The sequence below is a fragment of the Homo sapiens genome, chromosome 10 (assembly GCF_000001405.40).
Source record: "Homo sapiens chromosome 10, GRCh38.p14 Primary Assembly".
Taxonomy (NCBI): domain Eukaryota; kingdom Metazoa; phylum Chordata; class Mammalia; order Primates; family Hominidae; genus Homo; species Homo sapiens.
Window position 1 is genome coordinate 91,268,586 of NC_000010.11, and position 22,882 is coordinate 91,291,467.

General features: G+C 37.6%; 1 protein-coding gene across 16 annotated transcripts in view, besides 1 other annotated feature; it reads left to right on the forward strand.

Moving 5' to 3' along the window:
* Window positions 1-15,752, forward strand: part of PCGF5 (polycomb group ring finger 5) — a 128,119-nt gene extending 112,367 nt beyond the window's left edge. For 9 of the 16 annotated variants that reach the window (XM_017016776.3, NM_001257101.2, XM_047425846.1 and 6 more), the window contains 2 exons: window positions 3,053-3,112; window positions 9,684-15,752. In XM_017016776.3, the coding sequence (XP_016872265.1) occupies window positions 3,053-3,112; window positions 9,684-9,731 (108 nt within the window). In that variant the 3' untranslated portion in view covers window positions 9,732-15,752. The remainder of the gene's footprint in view (window positions 1-3,052; window positions 3,113-9,683) is intronic. The other 7 variants (XM_017016777.3, XM_047425843.1, XM_047425849.1 and 4 more) reach the window with 1 other exon arrangement.
* Window positions 15,803-16,378: an enhancer, noted in NCBI's record as "OCT4-NANOG hESC enhancer chr10:93044145-93044720 (GRCh37/hg19 assembly coordinates)". NCBI's record gives its function as "activates a minimal SCP1, AML or CMV promoter by ChIP-STARR-seq in naive and primed H9 embryonic stem cells {active_cell/tissue: H9 hESC(naive and primed)}" and the evidence as "EXISTENCE:reporter gene assay evidence [ECO:0000049][PMID:30033119]".

Here is a 22,882-nt window from a genome sequence, read left to right on the forward strand (position 1 = left end):
ACTCTCTGCCCCGTGGAGTCTTTCATCTCTGACAAGGGTACTCCATATTCAGATTACCCCTTTATCTTGCTCTGCTTCTAGCCTCTTAGGAAGAATCTCAGGATAATTGATTTTGCCTCAATTTCTCAAGAATAGTGGAGTATTTCACCTGCACCATACATACTCTGTGCCACTGCTCTCCTTTGTCTTGGGGTAGTTCCACTTCAGGCTAAGCCTGTTTTCTATGGTCCCTGCCCTCTCTAGACCCTTGTCTCCATTGTGATGCATTTTTGAAAGATTTTTATCTTTAGGAATCAAAACAAACAGCTGGTCAGACTTAGCTCGTAAAATTTTTTCAGTTCGTATCAGTATTGCCACCTCAAGTTTCTATACTCAAGCTTGGCATTAATCTTTTTCTTATTAGTGGGAGGAAAAAGGAAAAAAAAACATGCTTCTTGATCTTTAATGCAAATTCAGATCATCTCAGGATCTTGGTAAAATACAGATTCTGACTCAGTAGGTCTGGGAATAAGACTCAAGATACTGTATTTCCAGCAAACTCCCAGGAGATGCTAATGCATCTGATCTTTGGACCATCCTTTGAGTAATAGTGTTTCAGGAGATGTGATCTGTGACTACTGACTTTCCCTGTAGTTTCCACATCTATAAATTGAGGATGCAGAATTACAGAATCAGATCTCAGTTTGGAAGGGACTTATGTCATATCATCTGATCTGTCATCCATCTAATACTTGGACTTTCTTCACAATATTCATACCCAGGGGTCATCACATTTTTTGAAACATAAATGGAATCATATGTATTGTTTTACAACTGATTTAAAATTTGATAATGTGTCTTGTGCAGAATCAGTAAACTTTGAAACAATTTTTAATACATTAATAATAACTCCTTTTGTGGCTGTAGCATAATTTGATTAACACACCCCTTTGATGGACATTTAGATTTTTTTCAAATTTTTTGACATTACAAGCAAGGTGTTCCAGTACCTACTACATATATGCAAGCATATCCATTGGCTAGATTCTTAGAAGTAGATTTTCAGCAGAGTATGCATGTTTTAAATTTTGATAGATACAAATTGTCCTCTGAAAAGGTTTTAGTGGATATTATTTGAAATTTATAATCATACCAATAATGAATGAGAGTGCCCATTTTCTGACATCCTCCCCAACACTGCATATCATCTATTTTATATTTCTTCTGTGAACTTACCTATCATATTCATTCCCTTGGTTCTTTTTCATCATGTTTGTCTTTTTGTTAATGACTTCTAGGATCTCTTTATGTGTTCTGAATATGAATCTTTTGCTGTTATGTGTTACAGCTATTTTCTTCCAATTGTGTCCTGCTTCCTAGTTTTGCCTCAGTTTTTTGATTCTTTCAAATTTGGGTAAAACTAAGAATTAATGAAATATTATATACTGAAGTGTTTAGCAGAGTGTCTGACATAAATGTTATTAATAACTTATGCATATTAACGTTTATTATGACTATAATTCTCTCCTCCTTCACTTAGTTTCATCCCTGAGAGCTTATTGTCAATATCTCTATCCAGCCTTAGCTTTCATCGTGTACTCACGTTCTTCCTGCTCACCTTTTCTTGGGTAGTTCTCAGTACAGCCCCCTTTTCCCAGCTCATCCTGATTTAGTTTTATCTCTTCCAGCAACCTCTGCCAGTCCAGCACCTAAAGTTACTACACCATGCTTGTCTTCCTTTGCTTTATTTGCATTAGTAGGCAATTGTAAGAAAAGCAAGTATATACATCTTGACTGATACCAAAGAGATCAATAGAAAAAAAAAAAAGAATCACTTAGTGAAATTGCCACTTTCCAGCTTACTCTTGTTGACCCTGTTTAGAATTCTCAATGTTATGCAAAGTCTGATGGACCAGAGCTTGGGGACTCTTTGGAGAGAAAGGAGAAGGTTGCTAAAAGAGAGCCGAGCTGAGCCCGCCTTACAGCATGTTGATGCACACTGTACCTAAAATCAAGGACTGACTGCTAGAGAAAAAAATTACTAAAGTATTTCGGGAAAATAGAAAATTCCTTAAATTTTATTTAAAAGGCTACAAATATATTTGTTTTAATCAATGCTTATTTAAATCTTTCAAAGTATATCTTTTAAAAACCTACTTTGCTATGTTAGAAATATCCTGGTTAATTTGTACCTTATATTTTTTATGTATTTAATTTTTTCCATTTTGAAAAGTATGCAATGTTGAATTCATATATGCATAATTTTAAAGTATACATTTTATGTTTTGTAGTCCAATTACAATTAAAATTACATTTAATAAGAGTTTAGCATAGTATTTAAGAATTAGGATTTGGGAATGATTTTTTTAAATGTGAATAAACTGTTTTAAAGTAGTAGGTTTACAAATGAATCTACTCAATAGTTTTAAAGTGTGTTCACTCATTGCTTTACTCATAAAACATCTGATGGCTGATATATGCCAGTTCTGGGCCTTAGCTATTAAGACCACAAATGTGACTAAAATATAGATCTAATGCTATATATATATATAATCTAATATATATATAATCAGCAATATAAAGCAACATAAAGAACCTACTATAAAACAGAAAATAGATGCCTTACAGGTTGAGCGGAGTTCCACGTCCCTCCCAGAGCTCTGATTTCCTTGAACAGTATTACTTTCAGGGGAAGTTGAAGAAGAGATCTAGGAGACAGTGATCAGAGGAAGGGATGGAAGAAAGAGGATGTCCCTCGTGTATGCAAGAAGTGAGATTTTCCCAGGAAATAGTATTTGTAAAGGATATGGAAAGGAGAGGCCACCATTTTTGCATTTGCAGAATATTAAACAAAACTCATCTAGATGCTAAAATTACTTCAAGCTAAATTTTACCAGTTACTAAGTTATTAAAATCTTTTTTTCAAAAACAACCACCATTTTTTTGGAAAGTGTTTATTTACCATTAATCATGTTGACTCTTGTGTTTGACGTTAAACTATTTTAAATAATCAATTTTAAATATGTGTCCAGTTGTGGATGCCTCTTATCTGATGAGTTCATCTCCTCCGCAGTTTCGGTGTCTGAACTGCTCAGCTTCGCAAGTCTGCTCTCAGGATGGCCCTTTGTATCAGGTAAGAGGCACTCACGACTGTACATATGACCATCATGACACCATGGCGGTGAGCACATTCATCCCAAACTCAATTCCTAAGACATTTAACTTTGTAAAACTGTTACTGGAGCTACAAAAACTTATCTTTTCAACTTATATACCCAAGATTTCCCATTATTTTAGTTCTCCTGAATTATCTATTTAATTTTACTGAACTAAAAAATTAGAAATGTTAAGGCTATTACTTATGAATCAGGAATTTTTAATAATTACTACTTTCAGTCCTTGAGAAATCTCTACTCCATATTGGATTTTGAGACGTTACTTTCTTTGTATGAATGTTATTTTTCAGTGAATCATTCAACCACAAGTGAAATATAAAATGCCAAATTAGGTGAAGCTAAATAACAGCAACAGCTGATTCTAATTATGAGCTTGCTTATTAGCCCTTCCCTAGTACTTTACTTGAGTTACCTCTTTAAAAATGATAGTGAGCTAATTTAGTAATGCACTAAGAAAAGTTGAACATGTGTCTGAGGAAAGTTTATCTGATAAAGATACATTTTAAAAATTTGGGAAACAGACAAGGGTATAGTAAAGATTATTGTTGGGTACAGATGTGATTGATGATCAGCCTTAACCCTGTGAATTAATCATACCATTTCTTTAAAATATCCATTGTTGGGCCAGGCATAGTGGCTCATGCCTGTAATCCCAGTGCTTTGGGAGGCTGAGGATGTAGGATTGCTTGAGGCCAGGAGTTTGAGACCAGTCTGGGCAATATAGCAAGACAAAAAAAAATTATTTTTTTAGGCCAGACACGGTGGCTCACCTCTGTAATCTCAGCATTTTGGGAGACTGAGGCGGGCAGATCTCTTGAGTCCAGGAGTTTGAGACCAGCCTTGACAACATGGTGAAACCCTATCTCTACAAAAAATACAAAAATTAGCCGGGTGTGGTGGCACACCCCTGTAGTCCCAGCTACTAAGGAGGTTGAGGCGGGAGGGTCGCTTGAGCCCAGGAAATGGAGGTTGCAGTGAACTGAGATTGTGCCACTGCATTCCAGCCTGGGTGACAGAGCAAGACTCTGTTTCAGACAAACAAATAAATAATAAAATAATAAAATCCACCGTTCTTTTATTTCAATAATTAAATGAGTTTTCATCTTTATTTCCTTGGAGCCAGGGAGAAAGGATAATTGTAATTACATAACAAACTTAACTGGCATACTTACCTCCAGTGTTACAGTTTTGGAGTTGGGACAAATGAATGTATGTTAAGCATTAAAAGAATCACTTGAAATTGCTAATTGAAAATGTTTAATTAGCAGTTTATCTAGAATTTTCTTCAGCCTTTTGTCAGTGCTATGATATGGGAATTCTCGTGCCTTCATTAAAATGTGTGCTTTTTGATACATACTCTTTTAAGTCCTAGCTTTTCAGCAATCTAGTAAGTAAATTTAACATCTCTGAAGGCCAAGTCTGAGGGAGAAAGATCATTCTTCTCTCTATGCAGATAAGGGTCTGGGGTAAATAATTTAACTGAGCTGGTGAGATTTGTGTATATCCGAGGTGTATAGATGTTTCAGCTGCTTTAGCCTCATGGCTGATTTGGGAATGCTGAATTGTAACGATAACACTGCCTGTAGCTATAACCTGTGCAATATGTGTCTTTCTGCTTTTACTCTTGGTGTTGATGCCTATGTATTTCCTTAGAAATGAAGATGTCCTTAAACCATGATCCAAAGTATTAGAGAAAAACTGGAGTGAGACCAAATTTCTAAATCCATACAAATTTCCTCTTCTTCCTTCAACACCTCATTAATGGCTCATTAATAGTCTTCATTAATAGTCCTGTAAGGAAATTGAACTTGTAGCTAATAGGATGCACCGTTAACTTCCTGAAAGGATAACTAAATGGTTTTATGTTCTGAATTCTCTCTAATTTTCAAGGAATATATCATTCCTATGCTGTATCTATTGTTAATCATTAGAAAAGGTGGAATCCTTCCACTTTGCCATTCTTAATAGCAAAAACTGACAGAGAACCCACAATTAGAAAACTGGTACCAAATCTGATTTTGAATATAAGTAGATGATAAATAATACACTAATATAGTGTATTATAATAGTGTATAATATAGTGTATATTATATAGTGTATAATATAAAATATTTTATACATTTTATATATTTTATACATATATACTCTAGGTTAAAAATCATCAGTAGATACTGAAAAGGTGTTTGATAAAATTCAATGTGAAGTCCTGATGTTTTCCTATTGAAAAATTTTTCAAAACAACAGAAAATTGAAATAATTATACAAAGGAATATTCTTTATGATTACCTAGATTCATCAATTAACATTTTGCCACATTTTTTGCCTCCTCTTCCCCTCTCTTTCTCTTCTCATCTCCTTATTAATCAATCTGTGTATGTATATATATATGTAATAGTACATTACATTTTATAGAGATGCCAGTTCACCCCACAATTAAATTATAAAGTTAAATGTAATTCCAAACACACTTTTACCAGATCTTTGTTTAACTTGACAAAGTCAGTCATTCTAAAGCTCATAAGGAAATATCAGCAGGTGCTTCGATCAGTCATGTTTTTACAAAGAGTAATGAGAGGGAATGTGTACTACCACATACTAAAACATATTTTAAAGCTGAAGTAATTAAAATAAGGTCTTGCCTTAAACATAGACATATGAATAAAAAGAATAGCTCAGCAACAGACCCTAGTATGTATGAGTCTGTAAAGAGGGTATTTCAAATTAATGCAGTAAAATGATTAATTTAACAAATACCTATTGAGTATTATGCATTGGGCAGTCTTCTAGGCCTTCGAGGTTACAGAAGTAAAAATGAGCACAAATCTTTTCTTTCATGGAACTTACACTAATGATGGTAACAGACAAAAAATAAACAGGTTAAAATTTATAGTGTTAGAAGAAAAAGTAAAATAGATAAATAGAATAGTTTTAATAAGATAGCCAAGAGAAGCCCTCTTTGAGGTGGTGGATTGTTGATCAAAAGAAATTGAGAGACGTTGCTATGTGAATATCTGAGGTAGAGCACTGAAGCCTGAGGCAACACACTGCAAAGGCCCTGAGAATTGATTATGTCTGGTTATTTGAGAATTGCAAGGAGGCCAGTGGGGCTGGAGCACGACAGTGCAGATCTAGTAGGGCTTATTTTTAATTAATTATACTGAGACTGGGTGGGGAATTCAATTCTACCTCACATTTTATATCAGTATAGGTTTATGATGGCTTAAAATGGTAAATATTTTAAATGATACTATAAAAGATCAAGAAGAAAATATAGTTGAAGAACTGATCTCAGAGTGGGGATGGCCTTTCACGTTGTACCTAAAAAAATTGAATTGACTATTAATATTAAAAGCACATGGCAAAAATATCATAAAATATATTTGCAATGTATGATAGAAAAAGGTTTAATGTTATTAATACATAAAGAATTCATACAAATATGTAAGAAAAAGCTCAGCTTTTCATAAAAATGAGCAAAGGACATGATCAGGCAAGATACACAAGAAGGAAACACAATGGGCTAATAAACATATAAAAATGATTAACTTTCTTAGCAGTCAAGAAATGAAAAAAAAATACTATCTTATGCTTATTAAATTGCCAAATTAAGAGGTGGGGAAAGATAGTACTCATTATTGATGAGGCTATAGAGGAATGGGCATTCAAATTTCTTTTAAAAATGTAGAAAAATAAAACTACATTTTATTTTTTTTTTTTTTGAGATGGAATCTTGCTCTGTTGCCAGGCTGGAATGCAGTGGTGCGATCTTGGCTCATTGCAGCCTCCGTCTCCCAGGTTCAAGTGATTCTCCTGCCTCAGCCTCCTTAGTAGCTGGGATTACAGGCATGCGCCACCATGCCCGGCTAATTTTTTTTTTTTTTTTTTTGTATTTTTAGTAGAGGCGGGGTTTCACCGTGTTGGCCAGGATGTTCTTGATCTCTTGACCTCGTGATCTGCCCGCCTCGGGCTCCCAAAGTGCTGGGATTACAGGCGTGAGCCACTGCGCCCAGCCAGAACTACCTTCTTGAAGACCAGTGTAAAAGTGTTTATCAAAAAGCTCTTTAAAATATGTATGCTGTTTGAACTAGCAGTTCCGCTTTTAGGAATCTATCCTGGGGCAAAAGAAATAGATCAGTGGGTTAAGATTAAGTTATAATAGCAAAGGAAAAAAGGACTAAACTCAAATGTGCAGCAAAAGGAGACTTACTGATAACTCACAGTTCATTTCTATAACAGCATAATATACAGCTGTTAAAAATTATGTAGCACCGTACCAAATGGTATGGAAATAGGTTTGTGGAATTGCTAAATAGATAAAAAATTTAAATGAAACTAAATAATATGTTTAGCATGATTCCAGTTTTGAAAAAAAAAAACGAATGTAGATAAAATGAGTAGAGGAATATACACTAAAATTATTATGGTAGTTATCTTTGGATGGTAGGATTTAAATACTTTTCCTTTTTTTCTTGATACCATTCTGTATTTTCCAAATCTACACTAAAAACAAGTTTTGACAAAAATAATTCATTCTTTAAGGAAAAAAGTACATCAAAGGCAGTTTTATCATTTTCTAAAATTATTTGAAATGTATTCTCTGAAAGTATCTGTTCTTTATTTTTATTACATAATGAGCCTTGAGGACTAGAAACTGAAACGCAGGTCTATTTAGTGCAGTCACTTAACACTAAGAGGTAATTATAAGCCATATTTGATTATTGTTAGTGTGGTGCCATTTTATTTCAGAAAACCAAAACACAAATAGAACTTAAAATATATCTTTACAATTTTCAGTGTTGTGACACATTTCAATAAAATTATTAAACTTCATATGTTCTTATAGAACACACAACAAATGGCTACTTGGAGGAGAAAACAAAATCATTTTCAGCCGGAAACTGAGAAAATCCCAAGCATTGCCAGTAAAGCCATTTTACTTCCCTCTGTACCTTTATCCCTAGTAGAATTAATGGATACTTCCATATATGATTAATGCATTCTAAAATGAGTGGCTTATGTATTTGCAGAAAGTGTGCAAATTCAATAGAATCAGGAATCAAACGCAAAACTAGAGCAGTTAGTATAGTGAAGGGCAAGCTGTGGGTTGGGTGAGGTAGAATGGAAAGGATATTGGTCGTCTCAGAATCTCACTGGGCTTCAGAAACATCCAGAGTTTAGTAAAATGGAGATAATCTGTGTCTTGCTCCCTCCCAGGTAATCTGATTCAGGGGGAACTAAATAAAGTTTAAAATAAAAACAAGTAAAACCAGAACAGTTTTAGAAGTTTTAAACCTTGGAAACCCTGAGAGACTGTCTTGAGACTTTTACTCCAGCCCTTAGACAGCTGTAGTAGCATCTGCTGTACTTCACCTGGGAGAGCAAGACCTAGGGCATTTGTATTCCTGCCCTCTAGTTCCATCCTGAGCTGAATGGTTACAGATTCCAACATTGAGTCTTCCCAGTGTGTAGCATAGCTATAGTAAGCACTGAAATGGTCATTTTCAGGATTGTTAAATCTCAGTCTAGCCCTTTTATCTATATGAAAGAATACAAAGTTCTCTATACCGTATTTTTATATTCATGTATACCAAGATGGAGAAACATTAGTCAGTGACCATCTCAGCCCCTTCTTGATTCCATAAAAGTAGCTCCTCAAATTTCATTTTAAGAGAGAGTATCTACAGCTTTAAGAAAAGGAAAACCACTGATGTTTTGGTTCTATAAGATATGGTACAGGGTAAAAACAAACACAGAGGTAGCGTGGCATATGCCATATGCCTTTATCCCAAAGAAGCTGTTTCCTCTCTAGTTCTGTATGATAGCCAGATATATGATACCTTTTCTACATAGTGACATGAAAAACAATATGAACCATTCAGTTATTTTATGTAATAGTCAAATCCAAATGTTTATTAGTATCAACTGTTGAAAGGAGGTAGTGACCTAAATGTTTCATGTAACAATCAGCTACTTTTTCAATATTTTTAAAGGATCATTAAAATAAATTTTAAATTTAAAAAATGTTTCAAACTTGTAAGAAATATGATTTGTGAACACTACTCCAGTTTTACAGGTTCCTAGCAGAGGGGGTCTCTTTGTTGATTTGTGATCTAGTGGGCTCTCACCAGCCTAAGCTTTAGTGGAATCCAGGCTGCTGATCTGTCTTGTTCGCCTCCTAGGGTTACTAACTGAATGCCTATAAGCAGGGTGTGTGACTTTCAGTCCTTCCCAGTTCTTGCCTCTCCTAAGTGTTGTGCTAGCACTAGTCATATATACAACCTGTATGATGTCTGTAGGCCTTTGAACTTGACCTCTGCTGCATATTACTGAAAACTTGACTGATTCTAGAAAAATAATGGCAATCAAAAGAAATAGAGTTTTAATGGTAACTCAAATTTTAACTGTTGTAATCACTAGTACCAGGAAATACTGTAAATTATAACTCCGAATTCTTAAAATCTTTCATATATAAACTGTATTGTTTTTATCCAAATACAGTCTTATTTATTATCTGTCTTTATTTTGTAGTCATACCCTATGGTACTGCAGTATCGACCAAGAATTGATTTCGGTTAGACCAAGGGGCCCAGACCTCACTGAGATGAATCCTGCACTATTTGTTTACTCGTCAACAGATTGCACAGTTAACGGTGTGTGGACTAGAGGAACACAACCAGATTTTCAGCATGCAAATAAGGCCATTGTCTATCTCTAAATTGTCAGTTGCATTCATGTTGTTTCTATTAGGAGCAAACCAAGTGCCATTCTGCTACTGAACCATCTGCATAAGGTATTTGTGTTGTCTCAAAGTGTGCAAGTCATGGTAAAAATCAGTTAGCTGTGCCGCCATGATTCACCCTTCTGAATATTTTGCTTGCCTGTTCCAAGATTGTTCTAATGTTTAATTACACTAGTAAAATGGCTCAATTTTTGTGGTGTTGCAGTTTTCACATACTTACTCTTTTATTCTTGTTTAAATAGCGTACTCTACAAGAAACTAATAATTATATCTTGAAATTATTTTGTATGGAAGTATATTTAGAAAAGTGGTTTTTGAGCCACTGTCTTGTTCTTGATAAGCTTTTTGTGTGAAAAAAAGTTCATTCTTGAGTGTGCAAGTCCTTTTGCCAAGAATTCCAATTATTCTGTAACATTAGAGCACAATATAATTGTAGACATTCTAAGCATCTGTCCGTGTAGTCTACCAATTGCACAAGGAAGGCATGTTAGCCCTCCAGATTGAAAATGTATGTGACCTCTTGAACTGAAGTTAGATTCCCAACCATTCAAAATGTTGGCAGCTGATCACATTTACTTCTGATAAAAGTAATGTGTAAGTAAGGTTAATCTTCTTTCATAATGCCTTATGACAAGCAGGTGCTGCTTCATGAAACGTCATTGTATAGCCCATTTCATGTATCATTACATTGTTGCTGTTATTTAATGAGTGCATTATTTCTCTTTTTAAGTTGGCCTTAGGTATATGTCATTGTGGCATGCAGAGGGTTATGACGATTTTAAATATTAGGATTTTTAGAGCACATAACATTAGCTATTTTATGGATTTCAAAAGTCTCAAAACAGTTGTAGATTAAAACTGTTAGTTACCTTTCACATTTCCAAACTATGTGCATAAAATAGAATAAATGCAGTATAGAACTATGCTAACCAAAATTAATAGGTTAAGGGTATTTTATTTTAAATCCTGTAGTAATTGGGGAAATGAGAAGATTATTATTTTATACATGAGTTCATTAAGATCAGAAATACAAAATGTCCTGTATTTTGCAGTTTTGTTAAGTCTTCCATTCGTTTTAGGATTAGTCTGCAAGTCAAAGAAAGTCTTGTTACCTTAAATTATATGAAAACTGTCATTTTAAATCTTTTAATATTTACAGTTTTCAAAAACCTTACTTGGAAATTGCTTTGAAACAAACAAGCTAACCTTTGAAACTTAGGAAAAAATCTTGAAAGTTAGGAAAAATATTTGAGAAATATGACGAGCACAATCTGTGTGTTACACACATTTAGTTTTTATACTGCATATGTGGTAAATGTGTCACATTTTCCAGTAAAATGTATCAGAAATCAATGCCTTCTGAATTTCAAAATGATTCTTAGAAATAAGATATTGTACAACTCTAGCAAACATACAAAGTACAGCTAAATCTTAATATATTTCACTATGTAAAAGGCTGAAACTTCATAATTATCTGTTCCTTCTATCTTTTTTTGAGTCAAAAAGTCTATTAAATTTTTCTGTTGTTGTTCCAACTTTGGTGAAAAAGGTTATGGCAATACTTTAACTTTGTTTTGTTACATTGTTTTTGTTCTTGGAATGGCTCACAAGCAGAATTTAAAAGGCAGATTTTCATTAACTATAAATGGCTGAAAAAACTGAATTTACTATCTAGCTACAGAAATTATTTTTCTATGGTGTGAAACTGTTCCCAGACATCCCTAAGAACTTTTACAAATTATTATAAATTTGTCACACCTAGGTCAGCGATTAAAATAGTGTTTTGCAAATGGAATTTTAATTAACTCAAAATGAATTAAGAGTGCATTTTAAAAATCACAAGTGAGACTTTGATGTTTTGGCCCCCCAGCCAAAACTTAATGGTCATAAATGAATTTTATCTACAAAATCTCTTTAAATTTGGCTGGTTGCCTTGTCATATGTAATTTCACTATTTTCCAAGGAAATATATAGGAAGCAATTATGAAACTGAGAATAGTTTTATATAGAATTCTTTTATTTACTGATAATGCATTAACATTTTTATTGAAATGCAATGGAATATGTGCCAAAACACGTGAAAAGCTTACATAAAGAAAGGCATCAGTTGTCGTTTGGAGAAAGGTACACATTTTTTTGATGGTCCTAAGTGATATGGTATTACTACTAGAATCACAGATTTCTTCAACTGACTTATTTTGGTATATTCAACTACAGCTTTCTAAGGATAGGACTACTTTCATGTCTAGTAATACACTGTATTCCCCGTTAATTATCCCTTAAGTCAGATTGTAGAATTTGCAAGAAACTAGGTATAGAAAAAATGTACAGGCAACTTTTGTGGTTAGCTTTATAAATTTAGGGTGCTTATAAAATGATAAAATGAATTCTTTAAATAACCTATAGGAATCATCTGAATCTGTAACATCAGAGACTAAAACTAAAAGTTTTCTTTAATCTGTTGTTTCTTAAGCAATAAACTGAAAGACCTTTACTTCCATAAAAGATTTTGTTATCTCTTTTATCTGCCTTAGAAATTATAAGTATAAAAGGGTCAAGGGAACTTAGATATAAAGAATGACTGTGGTTTATAAACATTACTTTAATTGAAGTAATCACATCAGTTAATAGAGAAATCAAAATATGTATGGCCTTTTCTCTAGATTAGCAAAACAGCTTTACAAAGTATGAAAAAATAAACTAAAATGCTCATTGATGAGGTAATACTCAGTCTGGAGTACAGGTAACTTGGGTAATGCCTTTTAACTACTCTTAGAGGAGTATATTATTTCTTTATACATTAAACATCTATCCCATAGTAATGTGCCACATTTTATAAACGTAATGACTTTGCTCAACTACATTACACACTCAAATGTAATCTAAATTTAAACTGATTATTTAAGGAAAAAAAGTGTGTTATATAATATTGTGAACTGTTTAGCTTTACTGAAATATTTAAGAGAAAGTGCCTCATTACTAAAGTGCATTTCTGTTTTAAATTTACTGCATAAAGTTTGAGTTATCTGTACCTGTCTCTTATGAATGGTTTCATATCTAAATAGGCTCTTGTAAGTTAATTTTTTTGGAAGATTTTCATAAGAATATAGATATCACCAAAGACATTTTACAGTAAATTAATAACCATGTTGGAGAGACGGTTTTAACAGTTTGGAGGTTGGAAATTTTTAGATTGCAATTTAATTTTATATAGTTAGGCAATAACCTTGATTAATTGCTAAAATATCACCAAAGAAAGGCTTTAAACTGAATTTTCTTGGTGAGATCAGTCAAATGCAGGCTTTTCTTGCAATAATCAGAACACACTTCCTTTCAAATATGTTCATTGTTTTTCAGCATCATCTAACAGATCTTAGTAAATCTAAATCCTCAAAGATGAGAAAGAGGTAAACACAACAAATAGCCTTCCTCTGCATGAAAAGTGAGAGAAATACATACTTTGAAAAGAAAGTTCAGATTTTTAATTTGAGAGGGTTTTTATTTCATGGAGGCAGTGTTAACTAAAATTAAGCTTAGATTTAGCTCCTGTATTATTCATAATATGAGAAATTTTATTAAAGGCAGACTTTGGTAAAAGTGCCAACACACTTACTTGTATAGAAAAGACTTCATTCTATGGGATTTATATAAGTAAGTGCTTTCTCTATATTCAAAATATTTCATAAGGACCTGTGGTTTTTTTCCCCTTAAAAAGCAACTCTAGGCCGGGCACAGTGGCTCATGCCTGTAATCCCAGCACTTTGGGAGGCCAAGGCAGGTGGATCACTTGAGGTCAGGAGTTCGAGACCAGCTGGTTAACATGGTGAAACCCCATCTCTACTAAAAATACAAAAATTAGCCAGGTGTGGTGGCACGCGCCTGTAATCCCAGCTACATGGGAGGTTGAGGCAGGAGAATCTCTTGAACCCAGGAGGTGGAGGTTGCAGTGAGCCGCAATTACACCACTGCACTCCAGCCTGGGTGACACAGCGAGTCTCCATCTCCAAAAAAAATTCAACTCTTGGTCTTGTTTCTCAGCACTTAGTTTATTGTTATTAGAATTTAGCCATACAGCCAACTTTGACAAAATGGGTCACAGAACAAGCATGTACATCAAGAGGAAGTTCCATATCCCCCTTGTACCATTTCTCCTTGGGAACTCATGCTATGGGCTACCTTAAAGGTAAAACTCATCTTATGGAGTCTTTCTGATAGGTCACTAGGTAAAACTCCTTGGATAGGGTGAAAATGGATGCACACTCTATTACATACTCTGGTTTATCATAAGGAATTTTCCAGAAAGCTAAGCTTTATACTAATAAGATATTGGTTGGTAGTAGGAACTTCAAAAATGAATGAGTTTGCCATAACTTTAATTTTCTGGATTAGAAACACAAAACTTGAAATGCAATTATCAATATTTTGTAATATATATTCCTACAGTTTGGGTAGAAATAAGGAACATGTCTGCTAGATCTGGTTTATGAAAAAGTGAAAAATATTAAATACACCAGAGACTCAAACCCTTTCAAGGCACACAATAACTGTTCTGGATTTACCTGACAAACCTAGTTGAGTAGCATTTTGACAGAAAATATCAGACTGAAAGTTCATTCAAATGTACTTAAATGTACAATACAGTGTTCAATAGTTTTTATTGCAGTGATGTTTTTCCAATAATTTAAGTAATTCTCTTCCTAGTATAATACAGTTTTCATAAATAATGTTTACTTGCTTTCTTTATATTTTCAAATAAAATTAAAATGCTCGAGCACTTCCTTTCAGAAAGTTATAAAATTAAAAATAATTATTTTAAATGCTCATTCAAATGTGTCTGTATACTTGCTATGCCCCTTTTTCTATAATTCCAAACTGAGACTGATTTTTCAGAGATTTTTAACTTTAATAATTTTAAATCTAGAATCAAGTGAAACAGATATGTTAAATACTGAGTCTAGTTTTCTTCCATCTTATGGAGCTTCATGGAATAAGAAACTAATCTAGTGCAAATGAAGATTAAATATTTCTGGGTGATGGAGAGATAGTCAACAAATTTATTTATCCATCCTCTGCACATCAGTCCACTGGAGCAGGAGTTCTACACATTAAAAATGTAATGGGATCAGCCTAGCATTGTTTGGTGTTCTTTTGTTGTATTTTTTAGAATGGGGGTGGGGGCCTAAGTGTCCTTATGAAGCTGTGGTCCACGACAGGAGCTTGTTGGGGGAGTACCAGGGTTCTGCTGCTTTCCTGCATCTGAGCAACACAACAGAGATCATCAGTTTTAAATAGAGTAGCCCTCACAATCAAAATATCATAGAATATATTGTAAAGTTATGTTGCTAATTTTCCTTTGAAATATAAAATATTTTAAGCTTTTTGTCAAAAGTGGTAACATCTTAATACAAATAAAAACCTTTTTGTGGTTGTAAGATTTAGCTTATAAATCATTCAAATTGAAGTGAAAGAATTACCAGGTCATTGTTAATGACTTAGTCTATTAAGAATATATGTATTTTTGTAAAGGAAAAGCACTTGTAGATATTTAATCAGTACAAGATATGTCTTTTGCAGAAATAAAATGCTGCTTAGAGATTCTCCTTAAATATTTTTTATTTTTGTGCTCAAATGTATTTTCTGTTGATCTATGGAATGTTCTGTACAAAGCTGTATAATTGTACTGTTGGGCTAGATACTTTTTTTTTTTAATCTGGACTTAGCCAAGTATATTTCACCATGTTAAAATACAGTATCTTTGTTATTAAAAATTAAATTGCATAATTTATTATTGTTTGTCATCTTTAATATTAGTCACTGTAGATTGCAGCCTTCATTAAAAATATCTCCTTTAAGTACTAGTCCTGTAGCAAATTTTATTGAAATTTATTGAGTATTTGAGATCATAAATATTTTCTAAGGATTCTTCAGCTGTTTATTTTAAAATGGCACACTGTCCCTCAAATACTAGTTAAGGTGTATACACACACACCCTTGAAGGATTTTTTGTTTTGTTAGATTAATCAAATCCAAAAGAACGTTTTGAAAGTAATTAGGAATCAAAGGCAGGCCCAAGTGAATTGAAAGAAAGACTGTTTCCTTCAGCCAGTTAGATAGCTAAGCTTTGTTTATTAATACTTTCCATGTGCACTTGCCTCAGGAATTCATTAGGCCAAAGCAAGACATTTACGTCAGGAACACTGTGATGGTTTCTAGCTCGGCCCCATTGTGATTTTGATGCCTGAAGCTTTGTCTTAATGTTAGTGAAACGTTGGAGGTAGCTAGAAACCCCAGTCCTTCGGTGAGATAGGGAAAGCAGCTTTCCTCTGAGCAGAATTTGGCTTCCTTCTGTATTTGAGCTCCACTCTCTTCAAGGCTGCTGCAGAATGGGAAAGAATGTGGAGGACTGTGCATGGGAAGTGCTGGAACATGTAGCACACATTGCTTTCATCACATGTCACTGGCCAGCACATGGCCTCACCTAACAGCAAGCAAGGCCGGAGGACCTAGTGAAGCCACATCCCAAGGAGGAAGAGGAAAGTTTTGTGACCTGCTAATGTCTGCCATACCCTACATTTGCAAAAAGAGGTCACAGTTGCTTTAGGTCTTAGAAGTGTGTTGTCCACACAGGCTCAGCACTTATCTTTTCACTGGTTTGGAAAGGGAAAGAGGGGTCTTGCACTCAGGCCAGGCATGAGAAGCTTGGGAGTCACTCTGCTCTTCGTGTGGCTGGGGAACATGCAGGTAGTATTTTGCTGGAAGCCATGTACAACCCCACTTGGCACCCCAACCCTTGCCGTGGACTTTGCAGTGCCAGGATTTGCCACTAGCAATCAAATAGAGAATAATGCCTGGAGAGGACAAATATGCAGCGATCACTACCAGTAGAAACCAGCAAAGCCCTGTTCCTCTTTACAGAGCCCAGCCTTCCTTACACAGTTCTCCTTCTAAGAAGCCCTGCTCCTCCTTACAAAGCCCCACTCATCCCTACAGAACCTGCTCCCTCTTCAAAGCCCAACTGCTCCTCAGGAAGCACCTCCACTACAAAAGCCTCTCCTCCCTAAAAAGACCTGTTCCTGCAAAGAACTTTTGATCCTCTTAGGAAGCCCTGCTCCTCCTACAAGCTCTGTTTCTGCATATAGTGCCTTGCTCCTCCTCAAAAGGTCTGCTTATCCTTATCCTGCTCCTCCTACAAACCCTGCTCTTCTTTGGAATCCCAGCTCCTCCAAAGAATCTCTAGTCCTCCCAAGGAAACCTTGGAAGTCTTGCTCCTCCTACAAAGTCCTGTTCCTTCTTACAGTGCCCTGCTCCTCTCTACAGAGCCTGCTGCTCCTACAAAGCCCTGCTCCATTTTACAAAACTTGTTTCTACAGATACCTCTTCTTCCTCACAAAGTCCTCTTTCTCCTTACAAAGGCCTTTTCCTCCTTCACGACTTTGCTGTCATACAGTCCTGCTCCTTCAGCAAGCCCTATTCTTCCTGTGAAGTTCTGCTCCTCCTATAAGCCCTGATCTTCCTTAAACAGCTTTGCTTCCCCTACAAAGCCCCACTCTACCTACAAAGCCCTGCTTCTCCTGCAAAGCAATGTTCTTCATACAAAGCATTCCTCCTACTACAAATCACTTTTCCTCAGACAGAGCCCTGCTCATCCTTACAAAGTCCTACTTCTTCAATAATCCCAACTTATCCTTAGGAAGCCCTGCTCCTCCTAACAATGTCCTGTTTCTCCTACAAAGCACTGTTCCTCCTCACAAAGCACCACTCCTACAAATTCCACTTTATCCTTACAAAGCCCTGCTCCTCCTGCAAACCCTGCTCTTACTTACAAAGTCCTCCTTTTTAAAGAGAGCTTCTTTTTCCAATGTCCTGTTGCTCCTAGAAATCCCCACTTCTTCAAAGTCCAACTCCTCTTTACAAAGTCCTGCTCTTCCTTCAAAGCCCCAATCCCCCTACAAACCCTGCTCCTTTACAGAGCCCTACTTCTCCCTATAGAGCCTTGCCCTTCCTACAGATCCCTGCTCCACCTTACAAAGTCCTGATGCTGCTACAAGCACTGTTTCTCCTTATAAATATGTGCTCCTCTTCACAAAGACCTGCTCCTACTTACACAGCCCTGCTCTCCTACAAAGCCCAGCCTCTCCTTGCAAAGCCCCGCCCATCATACAAACCCTGTTTCTTATTTAAAAGCCCTACTCTTCCTACAAAGCCCACTCCTCCTTACAAAGCTCTATTCCTTCTAGAAAAGCCCTGCTCCTCCTAAATCCCTGTGCCTCCTACAAAGCCCGCATGCCTTCACAAAGTGCAACTCCTCTTACAAATCTCAGCACCATAACACCCCTTCTCATTAGAAATTGTGCTCCTCCTACCAAGCTTGCTCCACCTTCCAAAAGCTTGTTCTTCCTACCAATGCCTGTTTCTCTTTACAAAGCCCTGTTCATGCTACATAGACCAATTTATAGTCCATCATCTCAAGCTTATCCAGACTTCTCCCCCTTCTATAACACTTAGTTCTCTTACCACAACCACAGTCATTGATGTTTGTTTGCCCTCTCATTAGATTGTGAGCTTTGGAAGAAATGCTGACTTAGTTATTGTGGTATATCCCCACCCTCACAGACACACACACTTGCATAGTTACTGGCACCAGTATACAGTGGGGAAAGAAACTGAATTTCAGAAAGACAAGCGTTGCTGACATAGACTTCAGGACTTTCCCAGACAGTCTTCTGTCCCCCGACTGGCTCCATCTCCGACTTCAGAACTTTGGTTTAGTAAGTATGTGAAAGATGGCAAGGTTCCAGGTGGCCATCTCTTCACTTTAAAAATAGACACCCTGATCCTCTTGTGTAAGATCCCAGTATTAAGATTTGTTCCTTTGGGTGGACAACGTCTCCTCTTACAATAAAAGTTTCTAGAGGAAGGCTGTGTAGCATCAGATCATTTGTCCCACCTGCTTTGGTGAGCCTCAAATGAGGTGACAAGCTAAAGTTGGCTTAGTGATCATTAGTCAGTAGACAGGCATGAAACCAATGGCCCAAGGGGAACCCCTGGGCAAGCAGGAAGTAGCGCCCTAGAAAGGAAGCCAATTCCGTGAAGCGTTATCTGCCAAGGAAAACAGGATCTCAGTAGTCACCTGTTAGATCATGAGCTTTTAGATATACTGTGTACCTCCTCCCCTTGCAAACATGCTTCCCTCTTCACCACTGGCTTATTAAGTACTAGGAAGGCAGGAACTGTCCTCCTTTTCTCACCATATTCCCAGATTCATACGCCAGACAATACTGGAATGAATGGGTGAAGAAACAAATTCCCATCCCTTGGGCTCTGGCATGGAGCTGTGGTCCCCGGGGATCTCATACTGGTCATTGCTCACATCATGGTGTCAGCCAGTCCCCAGCCAGCCTCTCCTTTTCCCTGTCTTTTTCTCTCCCTTCCTTTTTCTCTTCACTGAAATTAGCTTACTGAAGTTCTTAGCACGTGGGACCTACTGGGAGCAAAGTTAGGTATTCATGCTAGACCACAGAGGCCTAAAGAGCAGGCGCCCAGGCAAGGGCTGCTGCCCAGTAGCCTGTGGCTTCCTCCCCTTCCCCAGGTCCAGCTCTGTGTTCTTAACTCCAGGCAACTGGCCCACAACTGCATGGCACCAACTTCAGTGGGAGGAGGGAGAGGCTGAGCAGAGGAGATATAGCAGCACACGCCAGCCGGCTCTCAGGGAAAGCAGAGCCTGTTATTTCTGTCTTCTTTTCTCTCCCCTCCTTTCTGCATTTTTTCATCCTCACTATCATCTCCTACCTCTCTTCTTCTGTTTTCCCTCTTCTTCCCTCTTTACCTTGCACTTTTGTTTTACCTGTTTCCCTCCTCTATTGGTCTCTTCTCTGTCCTCAGCCACTTCCAACAATCTCCCTTCCTTTTCCCACGTGTTTCTTCCTTGCCTCTCCCTTTTCCAGTTCGTTTCTGTCATTTCATGTACTCCTGTTTATAGCTTCATTTCATTCTCTTTATCCTTTTTCTTTCTCTTCTCCCTCCTCTTCCAGATCCAATTCTTCTTTCCTTTTGGTCTTCTGCCCCACTCCAGGAGTCACTCTCCTTTGTAAACCAGATTTCCACTCACTTCACACACACATACAGTGGGAAATGGAAACAGCAGAGAGCATCTTGGAGGAGCAGCTGAGCTTGGATCCTTCAGTAAATGCTTCCAACCTCCAGCCAGACCTCTCTAATAAGGCCCAAGGGCCAGCGAGATCACAGCCTTTCTCAGAAGGTAAGATCAGTTTGTTAGGACTGACATAAAAAAATACCACAGGCTAGGTAGCTTAAACAACAGAAAATTATTTTTCTCAGAGTTCTAAAGGCTGGAAGTCCAAAGTCAAGGTGTTGTCAGGTTCAGTTCTTCCTAAGGCCTCTCCCCTGGGCTTGCAGATGGCTGCTTTCTCCCTGTGTCCTCACATGGCCCTGCCTCTGTTCACAGGCACCCCAATATCTCTTCCTCTTTTAAGGCCACAAGTCATATTGCATTGAGGCCCCATCCTTATAACCTCATTCAACCTAAACCACGTTTTTAAAGGCCTTGTGTCCAAATATGGTCACATTCTAAGGCTCTAGGGCTTAGAGCTTTAACATACAAATTTGCGGAGGACACAAATTCAGTCCAAAACAGAGCTATGCAGTGCCCTACAGACCGGCTCCAAATGCAGGGTCATTCTGTTGTATAACTGGGCAATTTACCTAACCTCACTGAGCTTCAGTTTCCTCATTTATGAAGCAGAAATCATTATAATGTATCCCATAGGTTTGTGGAGGAATGAAATGTGTTATAAAGCATTCAGAGCAATGCCAGAGGACACACTAAAAGACAGCACTGATGTTTTCAATCTCTTTCTATCTGATCATCTGCAGATTGCTACCCTTAGTTATATCAATGTTCTGTATTTGATTTGCTTTAAGACCTAAAATTCTGCCAAGTAAGCAAAATCCTGCTTGCCTAGAGCTTTTCCGTTCACATGATGGTTCATAAAAGTCATTCCCACTGAATGTCCTGATACATAAAGGACCTATTAATAGCACAGGGTCTAGTGCATAGTAAGCACTTTAGAAATCTCCTCCCTTTCTCTCACACTCATTTAGTCATCAGAACAGATTTACAAGGCAGGCATTCTTAACTCAATCTCATTGATGTGAATCTGAATCTAAGTAACTAGCAAACAATCACCAGGGACATATCTGTGTCTCCACCATGGGTCTGTCTTTTTCCAAGGGTAGCCCTGTCCTCAGGAGCACTGGCTCTTTGGGTTTGAAAGCTGAGAGATCTAGAGAAGACTGTACTTAGGCCCTCCTGGCCACTGGAAGAGGGACAGTGTGGAAGACAGACACTTGGAGGCCAGCGTGTGTGTGTCAAAGACAACATGTACATCATTCACGTGGTCACACTGTGTTGAGTACCCACAACATACCAGGCATTGTGCTAGGCTCTGGGACTTGGTGGTAAGCTGAGCAGGTTCCATGTTTACAAAAGTGGAGCTTGTAGTATTGTATGGTAAACACATACAATAAACACATAATTAAAAGACTGGTGGTGAATGTTCTGAAGAGAATAAGCATGATGAGAATGAGAGGACCTTTCTAAGAAAATGGCATTGAAGCTGAGACCCGAAAGATAAGCTGGAGCTAGCCAGGCAAAGGGCAGGGGGAAGAATATTCCTGAGAAAAAGTTATCATTGCGATGACTGCTCCAGCAGCCCAGCGACCTGCAGAAGGCCAGTGTGGCCAGAGTGGGAAGCAGGAGGAGGGCTGGGAGAGGACTCTGCAGAAAGAGGTAGGGCCGGGTCGCGGAGACACTTTCAGGCCATATTTAAAAGCTGGTATTTTATTCCGAGCACAGTAAGAGGATTTTTTAAACAGGGAACTGACATCATCTTATTTATATTTTTAAATGATCACGCTGGGAGCTTGGTGGAAAATAGACTGTCAGGGAGTAGGGGTAGGATAGAAATGGAAACAGATAAAAAGCCTAGTGCAGTAGTCCAGGTGAAAAGCGAACAATGCAAGGAGCCCAGGGCAGTGCCGTTGGTGCTTAAGATGAAAATAGATGCTGATGGAGACGAGTGGGGTCCTCTGTGCCTCAGCCCGGTGCACGGGACCTCAGTTCAATGTAACCTGAGTTTTTAGGTCATGGGTGAAGCTCTAGATGAGAGTGGAGAGAAGGAGAGAAAGGATTCTGAAAAGCCTTTTCCACTAGCCCTATCCAGGGGCTCCCCACAGAACCAGCTGCCCTGCCAAGCACCCCAGCTCAGCCCCTCACCCCTCCAGTGACGCCCAGCCCCAGCACCTGCCTTGCCATGCCTTCTTCAGTGCCACCCACTCTCCGCCCTCCCCAGAGGTGGTTCTTGCCTGCTCCCCTCCAGAGCCCTTTGCACTTCCTGCCCTGTCACCGGCACTGGAGTGGCATAGCCATGAATTCCAGTTTCGGTTCCACCACTGACCTTCTGCAGTATGGGTAAATCCCATAATCTCTCCCAAGTAGCCAATGTGCCACAAATGTAAACGCAACACTGAACTAACGGAACCCAAAAGACATAATTAAAACATTTGCTTGTTTTATCTGTGCCTCTCACAGACCCTCTCCACTGATAAAACTTCAGCAGTCCCTGGACGTTTTCTGCTGCCCTCCCTCTCCTCTCCTTCCTAGTTGTGGTACAAGGTTGGGGAGGAAGGTGAATGGAAAGCAGAGGAGGTTGTAAACCAGCTCCAGGCCATCTGGGCCTGCCTGATATTTAAAGCTCTCAGAAATCTTTCTTGGTTTTCTGGAGGGTCCTCTCCCTGACTCTCAGCTGCCACTCACCTTGCCAGGGGCCATGCCTCCATCTCAGTGGGCAGTTTCCCATAACCCTCACCTATTCCAGGGTTAGAGCCCACAGCCTCTTTCTACAGGGATGTGCTCTTCCCATAGGCCACCATCTTGGGCAGGATTCCTCTTAAGTGGCTCCTGACTGAT